At 33.6% G+C, this 21,110-nt stretch overlaps 1 protein-coding gene and 1 non-coding gene across 4 annotated transcripts in view; both read left to right on the top strand.

Annotated features, from left to right (window-relative positions):
• The window catches only part of LRCH2 (leucine rich repeats and calponin homology domain containing 2), a 123,481-nt gene extending 102,644 nt beyond the window's left edge, over positions 1–20,837 (top strand). For 2 of the 3 annotated variants that reach the window (XM_006724724.4, NM_020871.4), the window contains exons 15-21: positions 1,254–1,298; positions 4,560–4,610; positions 7,451–7,508; positions 8,261–8,373; positions 8,556–8,693; positions 8,849–8,926; positions 18,118–20,837. In XM_006724724.4, coding sequence (XP_006724787.2) covers positions 1,254–1,298; positions 4,560–4,610; positions 7,451–7,508; positions 8,261–8,373; positions 8,556–8,693; positions 8,849–8,926; positions 18,118–18,237 — 603 coding nt within the window. In that variant the 3' untranslated portion in view covers positions 18,238–20,837. The remainder of the gene's footprint in view (positions 1–1,253; positions 1,299–4,559; positions 4,611–7,450; positions 7,509–8,260; positions 8,374–8,555; positions 8,694–8,848; positions 8,927–18,117) is intronic. The other variant, NM_001243963.2, reaches the window with a different exon arrangement.
• SNORA35B (small nucleolar RNA, H/ACA box 35B) lies at positions 5,011–5,137 on the top strand. Its single transcript, NR_145764.2, has one exon. It is a non-coding gene; the product is annotated as a small nucleolar RNA, H/ACA box 35B (small nucleolar RNA).

Below are 21,110 nucleotides of genomic sequence, written 5' to 3'. Positions count from 1 at the left end.
AGCCATAAAAAAGGATGAGTTCATGTCCTTTGTAGGGACATGGATGAAGCTGGAAACCATCATTCTGAGCAAACTGTCGCAAGGACAGAAAACCAAACACCGCATGTTCTCAGTCGTAGGTGGGAATTGAACAATGAGAACACTTGGACACAGGGTGGGGAACATCACACACTAGGGCCTGTCATGGTGTGGAGGGGGGGGGAGGGATTGCATTAGGAGATATACCTAATGTAAATGACGAGTTAATGGGTGCAGCACACCAACATGGCACATGTATACATATGTAACCTGCACGTTGTACACAAGTACCCTAGAACTTAAAATATAATAAAAAAAATTGACCACAAATATAACTATATACAAATGTAAAAATAATAATAATTTAAAAAAATTTACAAAAAAGAACCTTGAATGCCAGGCATAGAAATTTGGACATAATCTGAAAGTTAGTAGGTGTTACAACAGGGCAGTCATGAGTTGTAAACGGAAGGTTAATCTGCCACTGATTTGCAGGATCATTTGCAGTGAAGAGGAGTCAGAAGTAAGAATTCCAGTGGTTGTCATACTGTATTTTCTTGACTCTAAGAAGCATTTTTTCACATATAAGCATGGTTCTTATGTAGTAGGGTTGTTAAGAAGATTAAATGGGTTAATACATGTAAGACATTTAAATCAGTGCCTGGCATATAGCAAGCACTAGTACAAGTGTTAGCTGTCATCATTATTACAGTTATTGAACAATCAATATATACATTTAATGTAGTGTTTTTTAACATGAAAGCAGTAGGTTTCTTAATAATGAATGACATCTTAGAATGGTGAGATTATAGACCAGGTGTAAGATAATGAGGGCCTGGAAAAGGGTGGTAGTTGTGAGAATTCCAAAGAAGTAAGTCTGAGAGAGATTAAAAAAAGAATCGACTTGATGACATATTGGATATAGTGAATTAAGAAAAAGGAAAATTCTAAGACAACCCTCAGATTGCACACCTGAATGAATGGGAAATAGCTTGGCTTAAGAAAGAAATGTTACTTGATCTGTATAAAGTACTTATAACAATGCCTTGCACATGGAAAGCATTATTTTTGTTAGTTATTAGTAGTAGGACTATTTACACCTGTTATATACTTAAATTTGTTATCAGGTAATGTAATAAAGCTACCAAAATATGAAAGAACCTTGTACATAATTTACTAGTAGAGAATTTATATGTTCAAGGGAAAATAAATTATGTGTTTTAAATATTTTTCAGTATAAATCAATGAGGAAGAGTTCAAGTGGCAATGAAAATGATGAGGTGAGAAAAGATAATATTAATAATTATTTGAAATGTTTACTTATCATATGAAGTTGGCTCAGTGAGAGTAAAATGTAATCCATTTTTCAGTTTCTTTGTTATTGATTTAATGCATGGTTTTTTTTCAACAATAAAAACATATGAGCATCATCATACAATTATTAATTTAATCATTTAATTTCCATATGTCCTTTAGAATGGAATTACTAATAATTCAGTTTTAGAATTTTATCATCATTCGTCTTAGACCTGTCATATGTGAGTGTGTGTTGTCTTTCACATCTTTTATCTTTCTAAATCAGCCTGGTCGTCAATTGAGATTTTTTTTAGGAACTTTGTTTAGGAACTCCTTCCACAAATTCTGCATGCTATTTTAAAATTTAAAATTCGACTTCTACAGTTTGTGCATTACCATAAACCTTTCTACTGCACAGTGTAAACTATGCAGCAGCCTATCATTGTTGAAAAGATATATTCTCATTACCATAAATACTTAAGTTTTGTGTATTTTTGTTGGAGAGATTGGTATTTAATTTGATGTTGGGTACTTGGCAGGGCTTCTGAAAATGTCTTCAGTTTTAGGAAATAGAATCACACAGGGAAAAATAATGAATAGAGCCAGATGATTGGTCGTCTGCCAGCTCAGATGCCGATTTCTCTCCATTGGCCTCTCCAGTAGTATTTACTGGGATGAATAAAAGTCAGTTATGGCTATAGCTGGTCATATTTTCACTGTTAGTATTTATATTTAAGCCTAAATTACATGTTTTGTATGGGTATGCTTGGCAATATTTACCCATGCATCAGCACAATCAGTTCCTGTACACCTGCCCAAGCTTTCCATTGCACCAACTCCACAAGATCCCAGCCTACCCTTTAAATATTATTCCCAGGGAATGGCCTACTGTGTGGTCTCTAGCATGTCTTCACCAGCTGTCAAGCCTTCAGTGAATAACACCTGTGTACCTGCTGAAGCCTCTCAGATTTGTCTGTAGTCCAGACCTCTCCCCTGAGGTTCAAGCCCTTGCAATATTTTATCCATCTTCCTACCTGCTTAGAATTTCTGCTGGATATATCTCATAAACCCAATAGGACTAAATATGTTCAAAACTGAGTTTTTAAAAAGTTTTTGCTTCTAAACCCACTTTTTCGCTAATATCCGACAGTTTGTGTAGTGGCTCTCAACTTTGGCTGTACACTAAAATTACCAGGTGAGCTTTAGACAATACTGTCGCCTGGGTCACACCCCCTAGATATTATAATTTAATTGACATGTGGTATGTTGTGGTATGGACTGAGCAATGAAGTTTTTAACGTTTCCCATGTGAGTTTAATGTCCAGCCAAGGTTGAGAACTACTGAGTTAATGGAATCACCTTCCATCATCTAGCTGGAGCAGGGGCTGGCAAATTATGATCCAGGGGCCAAATTTGACATGCTGTATGGGATTGTAAGTAAAGCTGTATCAGAAAACAGCCATACTCATTTGCCTATGGCTACTTTTTCATTACTGTGGCAGTGTTTGAGTATAGTAGCTCTCCTTTTTTCTCCATTTCACTTTCCAAGGTTTCAGTTACCTGTGGTCAACCACAGTCTAAAAATAGGTGAGTACAGTACAATAAGACACTTAGAGAGAGACCACATTTACATAACTTTTATTACAATACATTGTTATAATTGTTCTATTTTATTATTAGTTATTGATGTTAATCTCATACCTGATTTATAAATTAAACTTTATCATAGGTATGTATGTATAGGAAAAAACATAGCACATATATTATAAAGGGTCTGGTACTATCTGTGGTTTCAGGCATTCACTGGGGTTCTTGGAACATATTCCTCATGAATTGGGGGACAGTTAGTTGTCACAAAGCCTAAAATATTTGTCATCTGCCTTTGACAGAAAACATTTTCTTATCCCTGCCTCCTCATACCCTCTTTTCTCTTGCCTGCCTCAATATCTAATCAGCAGCCAAGACTTACTGTTTGTTTATTTGCACTAAAATATTTTGCATACATTCCCCTTTTATTTCTACTGTTTCTGCTCCGGCAGAGGCCCTCGTCCATTTCTTGCCTGTTCTACTGCAATAACTTCCTTGCACTTCTCCCTTTCTCTAGTCCATTCTCACTGCAGCCAGAGTGGTCGTTTCAAAGAACACAGATGCAATCAGGCCATTCCCTTGCTTGGAAACCTTCAGTTTCCCCCCATAACTTAGAAGATAAATTCTAGATCCTCCTTTATCAAGCCCTTGCTTGCCACATCAGCCTTAATTCACAACTTGCTCTTCTTTCACCTTACCCTCCATTCACCTTACCCTCCAACAAGACAAAACTGCTCAGAGGTTTTCTGCACTCATCTTTACATTTGTTGCTTCCATGCTTTGGTTCTTCTCCTCTCATCTTAGCATGTTGTTCCCTTCTTTCTTTTTCTGGTAGACACTCAGTTTTTTACTGAATTTATACTTTCTCAGGAAACTTGCCTTTCTCTACCATCTTCATCATCCCCCCCAAGTGCCCCTTATCTGTGCCTCATAATATGCCATGCATTGTTCTGTATTATACTGAGAATGTTGTATTACCTGTATACATTAATCTATTTCTGTCCTCGACTGAAAGGTCCTTGAATGGGTGATATTTTACTAAATTTCAGTACTCTCACTGTCTAGCATAGTGTCTGACATATAGTAGGTAGCCAATAATCATTTGTTGAATGAATACATTTTCTATGTAGTGTGCATATTCAAAGTTAAATGTCAAAATTTTCATATTTGGTTGGCAGTAGAATAGTCATTTAAAAATCATGGACCATTTAATGTTTTATTAAATTAAATTCTTTGTAATTATCAATAAGCCTATATTAGATACATGTAAATTTTCAGATGAAAGTTATTTGGGGTGATGGAGATTTTGCATGCCTTCATTTACATGTCTCAGATTGGTAACACGTCCCTGCTATTATATGTAGATAGTATTTTTCAAACTTTACTATATTTCGAACCACTTGAGGGTCTTACTGAAATGTAGATTCTGATTAGTTAGGTCTCGGGTGAGGCCTGAGATTCTGCATTTCTAAACTCCCAGAGGATCCCTATGCTGCTGGTTTACAGACCACATGTAGAGTGGCAATGTGCTGGATGGCATATCTTTAGTAGGTCTTCCTTTAGTAGTTGGTCAGAACAATTTTTATTTTCCTTTTATATGTTTAAATCATCATTTGTATTGTAATTTCATCTTCCATCTTTTTATTTTTATGTTTTAGCAAGACAGTGATAATGCTAATATGTCAACACAATCTCCAGTATCATCTGAGGTACAAGTTCTGTTTTTATTTGTCTTAAAAATACGTTTTGTATGTTTTCTGTGTTTTACATAAGAGTCTTCCTTGCCAGTTCTCTGTAACCTGATTTTTTTTGCAATATAATTTATTCACTCATATTTTAAAATCCGTGGCAGATTAGTTTGTACAAACCTTCTAGCCTATAAAAAATTCTAAGAATGCCATTTTTTGGTAAAAATATTGATACTAGCACTTGTTTATTTATGATTTTCTGTAGTGTCTGTAGTGTCTGTAGTGATTTTTGGAAGTGTCTGTAGATTGCAGAAAAGAATTCACTTTATCAAATCTATGCTTTCTCATTCATCCGTATTTTAAAATAAATGATAGATTTTAAGAACAACTTTCAAATTTTAAATTTGAAAAAAGTACTTCAGCATTGTGCAATGGCCTTTGGTTTTTCTTGTAACCAGTTAGGTCTGAAACCAATGCAAAAGAAATTTCCTTTTTCCACGAGAAACATCCCTGCAGTGGGTTGTTCCTATCGACAGGAGGTTACACGTTTTTGGGAGAATGGGTATCAGAAAGTTAGAGTTTGTGAAATCTCGATCAAATACTCTGGTGGCTTGAATGACTGATTCTTCTAATTTATTTATTCAAGTCTATTGCTTTACAACAAGAGATAAATTTAAAAAATTCTAAACTCTATCTCTTCTACTTAAGATTACCTTAAAGTGTATTGGCATTAGTAAGTAAATGATTACACATTCATTTGATGAATTCAACACTTTGCTCAAAGTGTTGGATGGCCCAAATTCACTGTGTAACTTTGGTTACATAGATGCTGCTAATATTTCATTATATGTAGGTGGTGTTGCTTTTTTAATAGGCTAGGATTCTTTGTTGTTGTGGGTGATCTGCATTACAAAACTTTTGAATGGATTTGGACATTAATTTTATAAACATGTTTCTAAATTATTCATATGATAGGTAAAATGGTATACACACTTTTAGAAAACAATTTAAATTAGGATATCTTAAAATTAGTCTTTGTCATATGCTTTTGTAATTCTTTTACTTTAAGTTACAAGTATAAGCATATAAGTGACTACTACTTATTTGTCTGCTTGATATATGATTTTATGATCTGTGTTCACAGGGAAGACTATTCATACCAAATTTCCCAAATAATTTACATTGATATATATATACGTATATATATACGTGTATATATATATGTATATATATGTATATATATACATATATATATACGTATATATATGTGTATATATATATGTGTGTGTGTATATATATATATATATATATATATATATATATATATATATATATATATATATATATATATATATATATATATATATATATATATATATATATATATATATATATATATATATATATATATATATATATATATATATATATATATATATATATATATATATATATATGACACATGATCTCACTCTGTTGCCTAGGCTGGAGTGCAGTGGCACGATCTCAGGTCACTGCAACCTCCACCTCCCACATTCAAGCGATTCTTGTGCCTCAGCCTCCCGAGTAGGTAGGACTACAGGCACATGCCACCACACCTGGCTAATTTTTGTATTTTTAGTAGAGACAGGGTTTCACCATGTTGATCAGGCTGGTCTTGAACTCCTGGCCTCAAGTGATCTACCTGCCTTGGCCTCCCAAAATGTTGAGATTACAGGTGTGAGTTTTGTAATATATTTTTTATTTCATTTGGATCAGTGAAATTTTCATCTAGGAATTCATATTAATTTAACCAAAATAGTGAAGACAAACTGGGAGGCTTGTAGATTTGGATAGGGTGGTGAGTATGTATGTGCTTTGGTAACTCAACTGACATTTAACCTGAACTGCATATCACGTGTTAACAGAAGATTTAGGTAATCTACAGAATTCTGATTACATTAATTTCATGTGTGAATGGAAAAGAGTAAAACTAATTGGTGTAATGCTTTAGTATTAACAAAGTGCTTGCCTGTATATTTGTACCTAAAAGCAGCCCCATAAAATAGGTATGATCCTCATCATTTTACAGCTGAAGAGATGGGTAACTTTCCAAACTATCTTAGTTAATAAATGGCAGAGAAGTGACTGAAGCTGAGCCCTACTCACTTCACAGAGTTGTTGCACAGATTAAATAAGGTGCTGCTAAGATTACATTATTTTATCATCATTTAGTTATCTCATTTAATCTTCACAGTAACCTCATTTGAAAGATGAAGAAACAATCACAGAGAAATTATATGTTGTGCTCAAAACATAGCCTAAGCTTTCTAACTCCATCTTCAGATTTGTTTAATGTACTACAAATCTTTCCATAGCAAACCACTGTGTGTGAAAGATTTGAAAAAATATTCATTCAAATAGAAGAGATGATATTTATCATCTATCATTCTGCAGTCCCTATACAAATATGTTTGCCTTCAGATTATCTACTGTTAGGTGTTAAGTCCATAGTAGATGCTGAGTAAATGCTAAATTCACTTACCTTTTCATTGAAGCTTACTTCTTTTTTTCGGAAACTTCAGTCTGATTCTTTCAAAAAGTATGATCTATTTTATACAGTTCACTAATGATTTTCATTTTCTTTCTACTATGAAAGTATTTAAAGCCTATATGGTTAGCTCAACTAGCAAATATTAGTTGACCTCTTAAAAGTGACATGTATCAACTTGAATTGAAATGCAAGTTACTTTTCTCTTCACTAATCATAGGAAAATAAGTATTTCCCCAAATTGGAATGGATGTGAATAAGCACCTTGATTATTTTGAAAGAAAAGAAGTTTTATTATTTATTTATTTTTAACTTTTTAATTTTTTTTTAGGAATATGACAGAACTGATGGTTTTTCACACAGTCCCTTTGGCTTGAAGCCTAGATCAGGTAAATAGATATTCTGTAAATAAAATTTATTAGTTATATATGAAACTAGTTTCCCAGCTTAAATGGGATTGATTCCATAGTCTTAAGTACACATAGATTCTTTCCCCTCTCCTAAAAGCAATTTTCTCTTAACGATATTTGTCTTTCCAATTCCCATTCCCATTTCTTTCTTCCTCTTTACCTTCAAGCTCCTGAAACCTCAGCTTTTTGCCTTAGATATACTGCAGTCTTATTTCTACTCTACTGTGACTGCTGTTAGAATGACCACTCTGCCAGCAGACCAAACACTGTTTGAAATTATAGCACTCCATTATATTGTGGTTTTATAAAGGGATCTTTTCGCATTTGGCAAGCCCAAAAGAAAATGGATCCATGTTACTTGTCAAGGTATTGAACTATAGTTTTTATTCCTGAATAACTGTATTGACCTTCAAGAATAATTTCCTTTTTTAAAAGATAAAAGGCTGACATATGTTCAGTAATCATTTTTAACCTGGGCCATAAGTTTCTAATAACGTATGTTTGAATAAGAACATGTATAGGTGGTAGAAATCATTACACTTATCTTCCCTGTTGCTTTCAATTATGCACATAAATAGAGTTCAAATATATTCTCTAAAAATATTTGGAATGTATTAGTGAGTAATAATATTTTATGTAATTTTGTATTGATTCATCATGCCTCTTTCCCCATCAATAGTTGCTCCTTCCCATTAACTTTGTAACAAGTTAGGAAATTTCTGTTTTTATAGCTTTTAGCCGCTCATCTCGCCAAGAATATGGGGCAGCAGATCCAGGATTTACAATGAGAAGAAAGATGGAACATTTACGGGAAGAGCGAGAGCAAATACGACAACTTCGCAACGTAAGTCAGATTGCTCTTTCAGATCTGCTTTGTGGAAATGGGTTTAACTTGGAAAATTAATAAGGCGTACAGATTTCATTTTCAATGCTCCTTAAAATGTTTGGATATACAACAATTAGTAATATAAACATTTAACATGTATGTTTAGATAGAGTATCTGATTTATACCTGTTTTTCTATAGAATCTTGAATCCAGGTTAAAAGTAATTTTGCCTGATGACATTGGAGCTGCACTGATGGATGGGGTTGTTCTTTGCCATTTAGCCAATCATATAAGGCCACGTTCTGTTGCTAGTATTCATGTACCATCACCAGCAGTGGTAAGTTTTGTTTACAATTTGTTAGTTCTCTAAAGGAAGATATAGCTTCTTAAAATTGTCTTTAAATAATATACCTCAGTGAACTTAGTTTTCAGTTTTGATTAAGTTCCATAGAAAAATGCCTAAAAGTACATTTTTTCCCTCTTACTTTACAGCCCAAACTGAGCATGGCAAAATGTCGAAGAAATGTAGAAAATTTTCTTGATGCTTGTAAAAAGTTGGGTGTCTCACAGGTAATTGTTATTTATCTAACAACGTGATCACTTAAATTTGAATTTATTACATGCAAACTGGGGTTCTTCTTAGAGCAATGAATAATGCTTTCTGAACATGAAAATGAATGCCTTCTCTTGGTACCTTCTCCTAAGCTCCAGCTTTCACTGTAGCAGTTATCTAATGAATGTTTTTAAGCTACCTTTAAAGTAATTTATAAAATAGCTACAAATATGGAAAATCATGCACATCACTGACCAAACATAACTCGGTGGCCATATTTACAACTTGGTTGTGATGTCATTGTTACCATCTTTTTTTCCTTCTTTTTTTTTTTTTTTTGCTAGAGAACATTTGGACCCCATTGTAATTCACTGGATAGATTCTGATTGGAAGATTTGCATTCAGTGTGAATAGCTTTTTAAACTTTATTTAAAATGCAAAATTGGAAATTATACCAGCATATTATGATAATACCTGTATTGGACAAACTTTGAAATTTTTAGGAATTGTCTTATGTTTCATGTAATAATTGCACTACTATACAATAATCATTAAAGCAGTATTGTAAATATGTAAGGAAGATATATAATCACAATATTGCTTCTTTGTAAAGTGTTATAAACCTAACCTCAACATGAATGACTATGGAGAGAAATGACATTGTTATCAGAGCACAATTAAGTTGTGCTTGTTAAGCTGTCTTTTGAACAGTGTCTTAATAATCTGGTCTACAGATCCCACTTTAATCTCTTCCCTCAAGTAAGTAAACATAATTTAATGTGTAGAGAATCTGAATTGTTGGGTAATTTGGAAATTACATAATGTTCTCTAATTACCTCTTGTATATAGTTGATGTGATGGTTTTGTTTTTGTTTTTGCTTTTGTTTTTTTGAGACAGAGTCTCACGCTGTCGCCCAGGCTGGAGTAGTGCAGTGGCACGATCTCGTCTCACTGCAACCGCCGCCTCCCAGTTCAAGCAATTTTCCTGCCTCAGCCTCCCAAGTAGCTGGGACTACAGGCACATGCCACTACACCCAGATAATTTTTTATTTTTAATAGAGACGGAGTTTCACCATGTTGGCCAGGCTGGTCTTGAACTCCTGACCTCAAGTGATCCACCCGCCTCAGCCTCCCAAAGTGCTGGGATTACAGGCACAAGCCACTGTGCTTGGCTGATGTGATGTTTTAAATTTTTAATTCTTAAAAATGTTTGTTGTTTCTTTTTTCTACTCTCAATCTTTCAGTGGGGAAATAGCAAACTTAGCAACGTTTTCTGCAGCCATTACATTATACAGATTTTCCCGTTTTGCCATTTTTTCTTTTTTAAAATTAAAAAAACCCCTTTATTTATTTATTTATTTATTTATTTATTATTATACTTTAAGTTTTAGGGCACATGTGCACAATGTGCAGGTTAGTTACATATGTATACATGTGCCATGCTGGTGCGCTGCACCCACTAACTCGTCATCTAGCATTAGGTATATCTCCCAATGCTATCCCTCCCGCCTCCCCCCACCCCACAACAGACCCCAGAGTGGGATGTTCCCCTTCCTGTGTCCATGTGTTCTCATTGTTCAATTCCCACCTATGAGTGAGAATATGCGGTGTTTGGTTTTTTGTTCTTGCGATAGTTTACTGAGAATGATGATTTCCAGTTTCATCCATGTCCCTACAAAGGACATGAACTCATCATTTTTTATGGCTGCATAGTATTCCATGGCGTATATGTGCCACATTTTCTTAGTCCAGTCTATCATTGTTGGACATTTGGGTTGGTTCCAAGTCTTTGCTATTGTGAATAATGCCGCAATAAACATACGTGTGCATGTGTCTTTATAGCAGCATGATTTATAGTCCTTTGGGTATATACCCAGTAATGGGATGGCTGGGTCAAATGGTATTTCTAGTTCTAGATCCCTGAGGAATCGCCACACTGACTTCCACAATGGTTGAACTAGTTTACAGTCCCACCAACAGTGTAAAAGTGTTCCTATTTCTCCACATCCTCTCCAGCACCTGTTGTTTCCTGACTTTTTAATGATTGCCATTCTAACTGGTGTGAGATGGTATCTCATAGTGGTTTTGATTTGCATTTCTCTGATGGCCAGTGATGATGAACATTTTTTCATGTGTTTTTTGGCTGCATAAATGTCTTCTTTTGAGAAGTGTCTGTTCATGTCCTTCGCCCACTTTTTGATGGGGTTGTTTGTTTTTTTCTTGTAAATTTGTTTGAGTTCATTGTAGATTCTGGATATTAGCCCTTTGTCAGATGAGTAGGTTGTGAAAATTTTCTCCCATTTTGTAGGTTGCCTGTTCACTCTGATGGTAGTTTCTTTTGCTGTGCAGAAGCTCTTTAGTTGAATTAGATCCCATTTGTCAATTTTGGCTTTTGTTGCCATTGCTTTTGGTGTTTTGGACATGAAGTCCTTGCCCATGCCTATGTCCTGAATGGTAATGCCTAGGTTTTCTTCTAGGGTTTTTATGGTTTTAGGTCTAACGTTTAAATCTTTAATCCATCTTGAATTAATTTTTTTATAAGGTGTAAGGAAGGGATCCAGTTTCAGCTTTCTACATATGGCTAGCTAGTTTTCCCAGCACCATTTATTAAATAGGGAATCCTTTCCCCATTTCTTGTTTTTCTCAGGTCTGTCAAAGATCAGACAGTTGTAGGTATGCGGTGTTATTTCTGAGGGCTCTGTTCTGTTCCATTGATCTATATCTCTGTTTTGGTACCAGTACCATGCTGTTTTGGTTACTGTAGCCTTGTAGTATAGTTTGAAGTCAGGTAGTGTGATGCCTCCAGCTTTGTTCTTTTGGCTTAGGATTGACTTGGCGATGCGGGCTCTTTTTTGGTTCCATATGAACTTTAAAGTAGTTTTTTCCAATTCTGTGAAGAAAGTCATTGGTAGCTTGATGGGGATGGCATTGAATCTGTAAATTACCTTGGGCAGTATGGCCATTTTCACAATATTGATTCTTCCTACCCATGAGCATGGAATGTTCTTCCATTTGTTTGTATCCTCTTTTATTTCCTTGAGCAGTGGTTTGTAGTTCTCCTTGAAGAGGTCCTTCACATCCCTTGTAAGTTGGATTCCTAGGTATTTTATTGTCTTTGAAGCAATTGTGAATGGGAGTTCACTCATGATTTGGCTCTCTGTTTGTCTGTTGTTGGTGTATAAGAATGCTTGTGATTTTTGTACATTGATTTTGTATCCTGAGACTTTGCTGAAGTTGCTTATCAGGTTAAGGAGATTTTGGGCTGAGACAATGGGGTTTTCTAGATATACAATCATGTGGTCTGCAAACAGGGACAATTTGACTTCCTCTTTTCCTAATTGAATACCCTTTATTTCCTTCTCCTGCCTAATTGCCCTGGCCAGAACTTCCAACACTATGTTGAATAGGAGTGGTGACAGAGGGCATCCCTGTCTTGTGCCAGTTTTCAAAGGGAATGCTTCCAGTTTTTGCCCATTCATTATAATATTGGCTGTGGGTTTGTCATAGATAGCTCTTATTATTTTGAGATACGTCCCATCAATACCTAATTTATTGAGAGTTTTTAGCATGAAGGGTTGTTGAATTTTGTCAAAGTTCTTTTCTGCATCTATTGCGATAATCATGTGGTTTTTGTCTTTGGTTCTGTTTATATGCTGGATTACATTTATTGATTTGCGTATATTGAACCAGCCTTGCATCCCAGGGATGAAGCCCACTTGATCATGGTGGATAAGCTTTTTGATGTGCTGCTGGATTCAGTTTGCCAGTATTTTATTGAGGATTTTTGCATCAATGTTCATCAAGGATATTGGTCTGAAATTCTCTTTTTTGGTTGTGTCTCTGCTCGGCTTTGGTATCAGGATGATGCTGGCCTCATCAAATGAGTTAGGGAGGATTCCCTCTTTTTCTATTGATTGGAATAATTTCAGAAGGAATGGTACCAGTTCCTCCTTGTACCTCTGGTAGAATTCAGCTGTGAATCCATCTGGTCCTGGACTCTTTTTGGTTGGTAAGCTATTGATTATTGCCACAATTTCAGATCCTGTTATTGGTCTATTCAGAGATTCAACTTCTTCCTGGTTTAGTCTTGGGAGGGTGTATGTGTAGAGGAATTTATCCATTTCTTCTAGATTTTCTAGTTTATTTGCGTAGAGGTGTTTGTAGTATTCTCTGGTGGTAGTTCGTTTTTCTGTGGGATCAGTGGTGATGTCCCCTTTATCATTTTTTATTGTGTCTATTTGATTCTTCTCTCTTTTTTTCTTTATTAGTCTTGCTAGCGGTTTATCAATTTTGTTGATCCTTTCAAAAAACCAGCTCCTGGATTCATTAATTTTTTGAAGGGTTAAAAAAAACCCTTTTTTTAGAGATGGAGTCTGACTGTGTTGCCCAGGCTGGACTGGAACTCCTGAGCTCTAGACTTCCATTTCACAAATAACTGGGATTACAAGCATTCACTACCTCACTAATATTATGTCATTTTTGTTTTAAGGGTTTTATTTTTAGCTTCATTGCTTTTCTCTGAACTCAGAATTGGTAATATATAATAATTTTTAAATTAATTTTCTTTGTTTTAGGATGTTTTCCAATTTTTAACAGCCTTATTGAGTTATTAACATACAATATAGGGCATATAAATAAAGTGTACAATTTGATCAATTTTGACATATGCATACACCATGAAATCATCACCACAGTCAAAATAATGAACATATCTACTGCCCCCCAAAATTTCCTCATGTGTCTTTGCAATCCTTCTTTCTCCAGCAACCACTAATCTGCTTTCTGTCATTGCAGATTAGTTTGCACTTTCTAGAGTTTTATATAAATGGAATGATACAATATGTATTATATTTTTCTATCTTCTTTCACTCAGCATAATTATTTTATGACTCGTCAGTGTTGTTGCATGTATGAATAGACCATTGCTGTTCATTTCTGGATAGTATTTTATTGTATGGATATACCACAGTTTGTTAATCCCTTGACCTGCTGATGGACATTTGGGTTGTTTCCAGTTTTAGCGGCTGCTACAAATAAAGCTGCTATGAACATTTGTATACAAGTCTTTGTATGGATTTATACATTCTTTAATTTTTAGTAAATACCTAGCAGTGGAATAACTGGAACATATGGAAGTGCATACTTAACATTTTAAGAAACTACATAACTCTTCCAAAGTGGTTGTACTGTTTTACATTCCTGTCAGCAGTATGTGAGAGTTCCAGTTCCTCCACATCCTCACTAACATTCAGTATGATCAATCTTCTAAAAATTTTAGTCATTGTGATATGTATGTACTGACTTGCCAGTGCAGTTTTAATTTGCATTTTCCTAAAGACTAATGATGCCGATCATCTTTTCAAGGCTTATTTGCCACCTGTATATCTTCTTTTTGAAGTACTTTGAAGTATACTTTCTTTTTTGAAGTACATATTCTAATCTGAGGTATATTTTGTATTGGGTTGTTTATTTTCCTATGATTGAATTTCAGATTTCTTTACAAGTTATGGATAAAGACATTTACCAGATTTATAAATATTGCATCCAAATCTTTGGCTTGTCCTTTCATTGTCCTTAGAGTGTCTTTCAAGGAGCAGGATCTTCACTTATTGAAGTACAATTTATTTTTTAAAATGGGCTGTGCTTTTTGTGTCAAACCTAGGAAATCTTCGTATAATCCAAGGCCACAAAGATTTCTTTCCTATGTTTACTTCTGGAAATTTTATAATCTTAGGTTTTGTGTTCATGTCTATGATCAATTTTGAGTTAGTTTTTGTATGTGGTTAAAAAGTATGGATTGAAGTTCTCTTTTTTTAAGCCTGAGATTGGGCATATACATTGATTTTTTTAAGAAAATATTTTTATTGAGATATAATTACAATGCCATAGCATTCACTGATTTAAAGTGTACAATTAAATGGTTTTTAGCATAATCACAGAGTTCAGCAACAGTTAACAACAATCTGTTTAAAATATTTTCGTCACCCCAGAAACACAGCCCTTGCCCATTCGCAGTCCTTCCTCTGTTCTTTCTATGGATTTGCCTACTCTAGACATGACATATAATGAAATCATACAATATGTGGTCTTTAGTGTCTGGCTTCTTTGACTTAGTATAATTTTTCCAAGGTTCATCCATTTGTAGCCTAAATCAGTACTTCATTTCTTTTTATGGCTGAATAGTGTTCTGTTCTAAATACATACCACATGTTGTTTATCCATTCATCAGTTGATAGACATTTGGATTGTTATCACTCATTGTTTATTATGAATAATGTTGCTTTGAACATCCGTGAATAAGTTTTTCTTTGAACACTTGTTTTCAGTTCTCTTGGTTATACCTAGCAGTGAAATTGTTAGGTTATATGGTAACTCTATGTTTATATTTTTTAAGAAACTGACAAAATATGTTGCAAAGTGGCTGCACTATTTTTACATTTCCACCAGCAATATATGAGGGTTCTAATTTCTTCACATCATCACCAACAATGGCTACTACTGTCTACCTTTTTGGTTGTAGCTATTTTAGTGTGTATGTGATGTGATATCTTATTGCGGTTTTGATTTGCGTTTCCCTAGTAGTTAATGATGTTGAGCATCTTTTCTTGTGCTTATTGATTTGTATATGTTCTTTGGAGTAATGTCTATTGAAACCCTGTGTTCATTTCTGAGTTAGATTATTTATCTTTTTTTTTTGAGTTGTAGTTCCTTATGTATTCTGGATACAAATTGCCTAAGAGATACATGATTTGCAAATATTTTCTCCCATTCTGCAGGTTGTCTTTTCACTTTCTTGATGGTATCATTTACAGCACAAAAGTTACTAATTTGATGAAGTGTAGTTTATCCCATTTTTTCTTCTGCTGCTTATGATTTTGATATCATATCTAAGAAAACATTGTGTAATTCAGGGTCACAAAGATTTACACCTGTGTTTTCTTCTAAAAGTTTTATAGTTTTAGGGCTTACCTTTTTGTCTGTGATCCATTTTGAGATCAGTTTTGTGCATGGTATGAGGTACGGATCCAAATTCATTCTTTCACATGTGGATATCCAATTTTCCCAGCACCATTTGTTGATAAGACTCTTCTTTTCCCCATTGAATTGTCTGTCTTAGCACCTTTGTCAAAAATCAGGTGACCATAAATATAAGGCTTTATTTCTGGATTCTCAGTTTTTTTTACCACTAAATTCCTTATTCCAGTATCACACTGTCTTGCTTACTGTAATTTTGTGATGCATTTTGAAATCAAGAAGTGTGAGTCTTCCACATTTGTTCTGTATCAAGGTTGTTTTGGCTATACTGAGTCCCTTGCATTTCCATATCAATTTTAGGATTGATTAGCTTGTCAATTTCTGCAAAAAAGCCACTTGGGATTTTGCTGGGATTACCGAATCTAAAATGATTTGGGGAATATTGTCATCTTCACAATGTTTATTCCTGTGATCCATTAACATGAGACATCTTTCCATTTATTTATATCTTTTAATTTTTATTCCAACAGTGTTTTGTAGTTTTCAGTGTATGAGTCTTTCATTAGATTTGTTAAATTAAATGCTTAGTATTTTATTCTCTTTGGTACTATTATAAATATAATTATTTCTTTAATTCCACTGTCAATTTTTTATTGCTACTTCATAGAAATAGAAGTGATTTTCTTTTATTGATCTTGTATTCTGCAACCTTGCAGAACTCATTTATTAGTTCTATAATAGTTTTTTTGTGTGTGTTTCTGTGCCTTAGGAGTTTCTCTTTACAGAATCATTTAATTATTCTTTCAAAGAATTCATCCATTTCATCTAACTTGTCAAACTATTATTATGAAGTTATTTATAATGTCTCCTTATTATCATTTTGGTATTTGTAGAATATCTTGTGGTGTCACTTCCCTTATTTATGATATTGGTAATTTGTGTATTCTCTCTTTCCTTCCTGATTAGCCTAGCTTGAGGTTTATGAATTTTTAAAAATCTTCTAAATGAACTAACTTTGGGTTGCATTGATTTTTTTTATCTATTGTTTTTTGTTTTTTTACTTTATTGTTTTCCTCTCTCATTCTCATTATTTGCACCATTCTTTTGCCATTGGTTTAATTTGCTCTTCTTTTTTTAGTTTCTAGGGTGGAAGCTGAAGTCATTGATTTGAAGCCTTCCTTCTTTTCTAGCATACACTTCAGTGGTTATTTGAATAAATAAGCAAAATATTAAGAGGGCAACAAATATAGCAGTGAAGATGGAGATGAGGCAATAATTTTGAGAACTCTTTATGGGATACCATCATTAGTATTTGGAGAATGGGTTATGGGAGTAAGGAAGAAAGAGGAAGACTATTATATTTCACAGGTTTGTCAATGGAGATTGAATAGTGTATTACTAAGACATGGATCGCAGAAGGGCAAATTAATTTGGTAAAGTAGTTCTGTTGTGGACACATTGATTTTGATATGTCTGTTAGATGTCCATTTGGCTGTGTCCAGTTGATATTGTATTTGGAGATCAATAGAGAGATCTTGGGAGGAAATAAAAACTTGGAAGCCATCGGTATGGAAGGGGTAGTTAAAACTAGAAATAGATGAGAATACCAAAAGAGAGGGTATAGTGTAAAAGAGAAGAGAGTGAAGACAGAACCCTTGGAAACATTTGGAATGTTGGAAGAGGATCGGTGAGGGCTAATTAATGAAAGCTACTGCACAATTGCTGTCAGAAAAGTTGAAGTAGAAAAGAATGGTGTCACACAAGACAGGGGAGGAGTAAGGTTCCCAGAAAGGCATTAATCAAAGGCATAATATGACTGAGCAGTCAACTAGACATGTGCAACATTTGACATTTAAGATGGCATTGGTGATTTTTACTAAAATAGTTTTAGTGGGCATATGCTTTAGGGTTAGATGTAAGATAGCAGTGGTTGAGTAGTGAGTGGGAAATCCAAAAGTGGTGACCAACTCTTTTATAAACATTTTCTTTGTAGAGAAAGAGGTACAAGTGTGGAATGACAGCATTTCAAACAAGGCCGACTTCTATAATCTTTTTTCTTAGTATAAATTAAGAATCTAAAAACATTTTAGATTACAATATTTATAAGAGAAAACTTAGAATTATGTAGTTTTCTTGACATTTTATAGAAATCATGTTTTTAAAATCAAATTCTGACTTAATTTTATTACACTTCTAAAAAATGAATGTTCAAATATCTCTTTTTTTTCTCCAGGAAAGACTTTGTTTGCCTCATCATATTTTGGAAGAACGAGGACTTGTGAAAGTTGGTGTCACAGTTCAGGCGCTCCTTGAATTACCAACAACCAAGGCATCTCAGCTTTCTGTGGCTTAATATAACATTTTAAAATTCTAAGTGTATAGTTTCATTTATTTGAAGTGATTTCAAATATTTCAAATTCATGAATAAGAATATTCCGTCAAAAATAGTTTGCCTTAGGTCACGCCTTAGGATTTTAAAAAAATTACATTGAAACATCAAACTTAAACATTGAATTGCCCGAACTTCTTTGGGGGAAAACTGGATTAACTTAATAAGAGTATTTGATAAACTCAAATTCTCTTTTTACTAAGTCAGTTGATAATCTTGATTATTTTTCAGAAAGCAGACTGATACTAAATTTAAAATGTAGTTTCAATTTAATAATCACATTAGGTTTAATTTTTTTACATCATAGCATATTAGTAAACATCTGGATAAAGGTAATTTTTTTTAGCAATTTAGAGCAATTCTATATTTGAGTTATTTAATACACTTCTAATTCTAGTTTATACACAATTTCTTCAATCTTTGGTCTTAGTTTTCTAGAAAAAAGGAGTAGAAAAAACAATTCTGGCTTTATATTAAATTCTTTTAGTATTATAGGTTGGTGCCAAAATATTTTCAGTTGTACTGTAGATTGTTTACATGTGAAGTGCCTGTGTAATTGATGACTCTTACATAGTCTTAAGCATTTTTGCAATTTTTTAAATGTATTAATAGAGTCAATGGAACTTTAAAATATTTTAGTAGATTTTGTAAAGTCAGTAATATGTGAGGATTTAAATGAGCCTCACATTGTGACATTTGTGGTTTTTTAGTTAGTCCATTGCAGTTTCCCTTAAATTGGTTATTTCATGTTGTCAAAAATACCAATGTTAATATGATTAATTTATGCTATTTAATTTTGTGAAACTTAATCATCTTTTAAAATGTATTATTTGAAGAGTATTTTATTTCTGTATTGAAAATGTTACACAAAGCAGTAAAGTTTTTGAGAACTAGTGAAGTACTAATTATCAAGGACATTTTGATAAAACTGCCAAAGTTTGGGTTTATATCTTCCCTTTGAGCAGCATTCTATCAGTGCTGCCTTTAGCTATACTCAGAGAGCAGCAGTTGAGGAATAGGTTTTTACTCAAAATCTGGCCATTTGTGAATCCTGTAAACCTTGTGATCTTCAATTACTTTGATGTTAAATTAAACACAGACTCTTCTATAAATATTTTCATGAGATACTGTGTTACACAAAGTCCTTGTTTTAACTTAGGTATGGGTAAATTTACATTGGTGGTATTGCAGGAATTTTTCAAAAACATTACTGTAATGAATAACTGAGTTTCCTATAGAAGAACCTGAATAATTACTTTTGTAGTAACCAAGCAAGCATCATATCTTAAGTATGTGATCATTTGCACTTGTTACCTCTTAATATGGATGCAACTTATTAAAAATGTTGGCCTGGGTATTTCAAAGGGTATATATAAAAGGTAAAAAACTAGTGTGCCAAATGGTATAGGAACAACTGTACTTTTTTTGATCAGTTGGCATGAAGCCATAGAATTAAATTTTGGCTTTAGAATACAGATGTGTTCATTACATTCCCCAAGGGTCAAATTGGAGCTTTTAAAGAATTAAAGCTTCTATGAGTATATGGTTTAAGAATTAAATTATTAGTAATTTATTATTTTAAATATTTGACCTCATTAGTTGTTAATTTTTTAGTTGGATAAAAAAAAAACTCGCTGACATAATCTCCCTAGTGAAAACTTGGGTAATATATGTAAGAAATGGCAAATAAATACCTTAGTTAATGACTTTTTATGTAGAAATTTGACAGCATTACAAATTAAGTGACCATTAAAAACACAGCAATCATTCATACTGCTTTCATAGGTGTTATGATAGTCTCTGATTAATCAATCTAGTATGAATTATTTTACAAGTGTTGTCCTGTTTCATATCTTTGAAGTAGTAGTGAAATTGTAGGCCATTTTCTTATAACATTTCAGTTACTTTTCAGTTAATTATTCCTTTAAAAAGAAAATACAGCAGAACCTCACTGTAGCATTCTTTACTGCAGAGCAAAATTCAATTTAAGATGGGCTTCTCTGAGGTCCACATCATGGCAGTTCATTTACTCTTGTGCCAAATGGCAACACCACGTCTAAAGCAGTTTCACAGCATGGTCCCCTACAATGTTATACCAAGGCTCTGATGTATTTCTTTTAGTAGTTTCTAAGTGTAAAATTTATTCTAAATGTTTTTATGGCTATTATCTATTTCATCAGTTATTGAATTAAGAATGATTTTCATTACTTGAGTGGGATTTGTGATTTAATGACAGTTGAATAATCAAAAATATTTTATTAGGCCCCCAAAATTTAATAGATATCTATTTCTGTTACATTTTATTACTGTATGGCACAAGAAAGAAGTGACATTGGGTATGTTAGAAATGAAATAAGGAGTAAAAATGCATTACCATTTGTTTAATAATTATCTTTACAGAATGCTAGTTTAATGACTTTTTTAACTGAATTTTTTGAATAAATCAGAAATGTTTGTATTGGTCACAGATCTATCATAATTGCTTTTCTGATGCATTTAAAAATAAATGGAACACTTAAATGTATATTACCGATGCAAACTGTGGATAAAGTTGAAAGAAAAAATTTAAGTCTGGTATTTCTTTTCTCCCTCTCTACCTCCTTTCTTACCATCACATCATCCATTTTTTGTCAGCATTTGATAGATGGTGTCTGTGTTCCCTAGTGTAGAAAAATAGCCAGACTTTGAGGGAATATTCAAAGTAAGTGGTTTAGAGGTCCAGATTCACTTTATATTGTGAAAGGAAAATAAATCTTGGGGCCCCAACATCACTAAGCTAAAGGAGAAGGTCAAGCTGGGAACTGCTTAGGAGAAACCTACCTCCAGTTCTATTCAAA

This window comes from Homo sapiens, chromosome X (assembly GCF_000001405.40).
Source record: "Homo sapiens chromosome X, GRCh38.p14 Primary Assembly".
Classification (NCBI taxonomy): Eukaryota; Metazoa; Chordata; class Mammalia; order Primates; family Hominidae; genus Homo; species Homo sapiens.
Note: the sequence above shows the minus strand (reverse complement) of the source record. Positions and strands in the feature narration are given on the sequence as shown.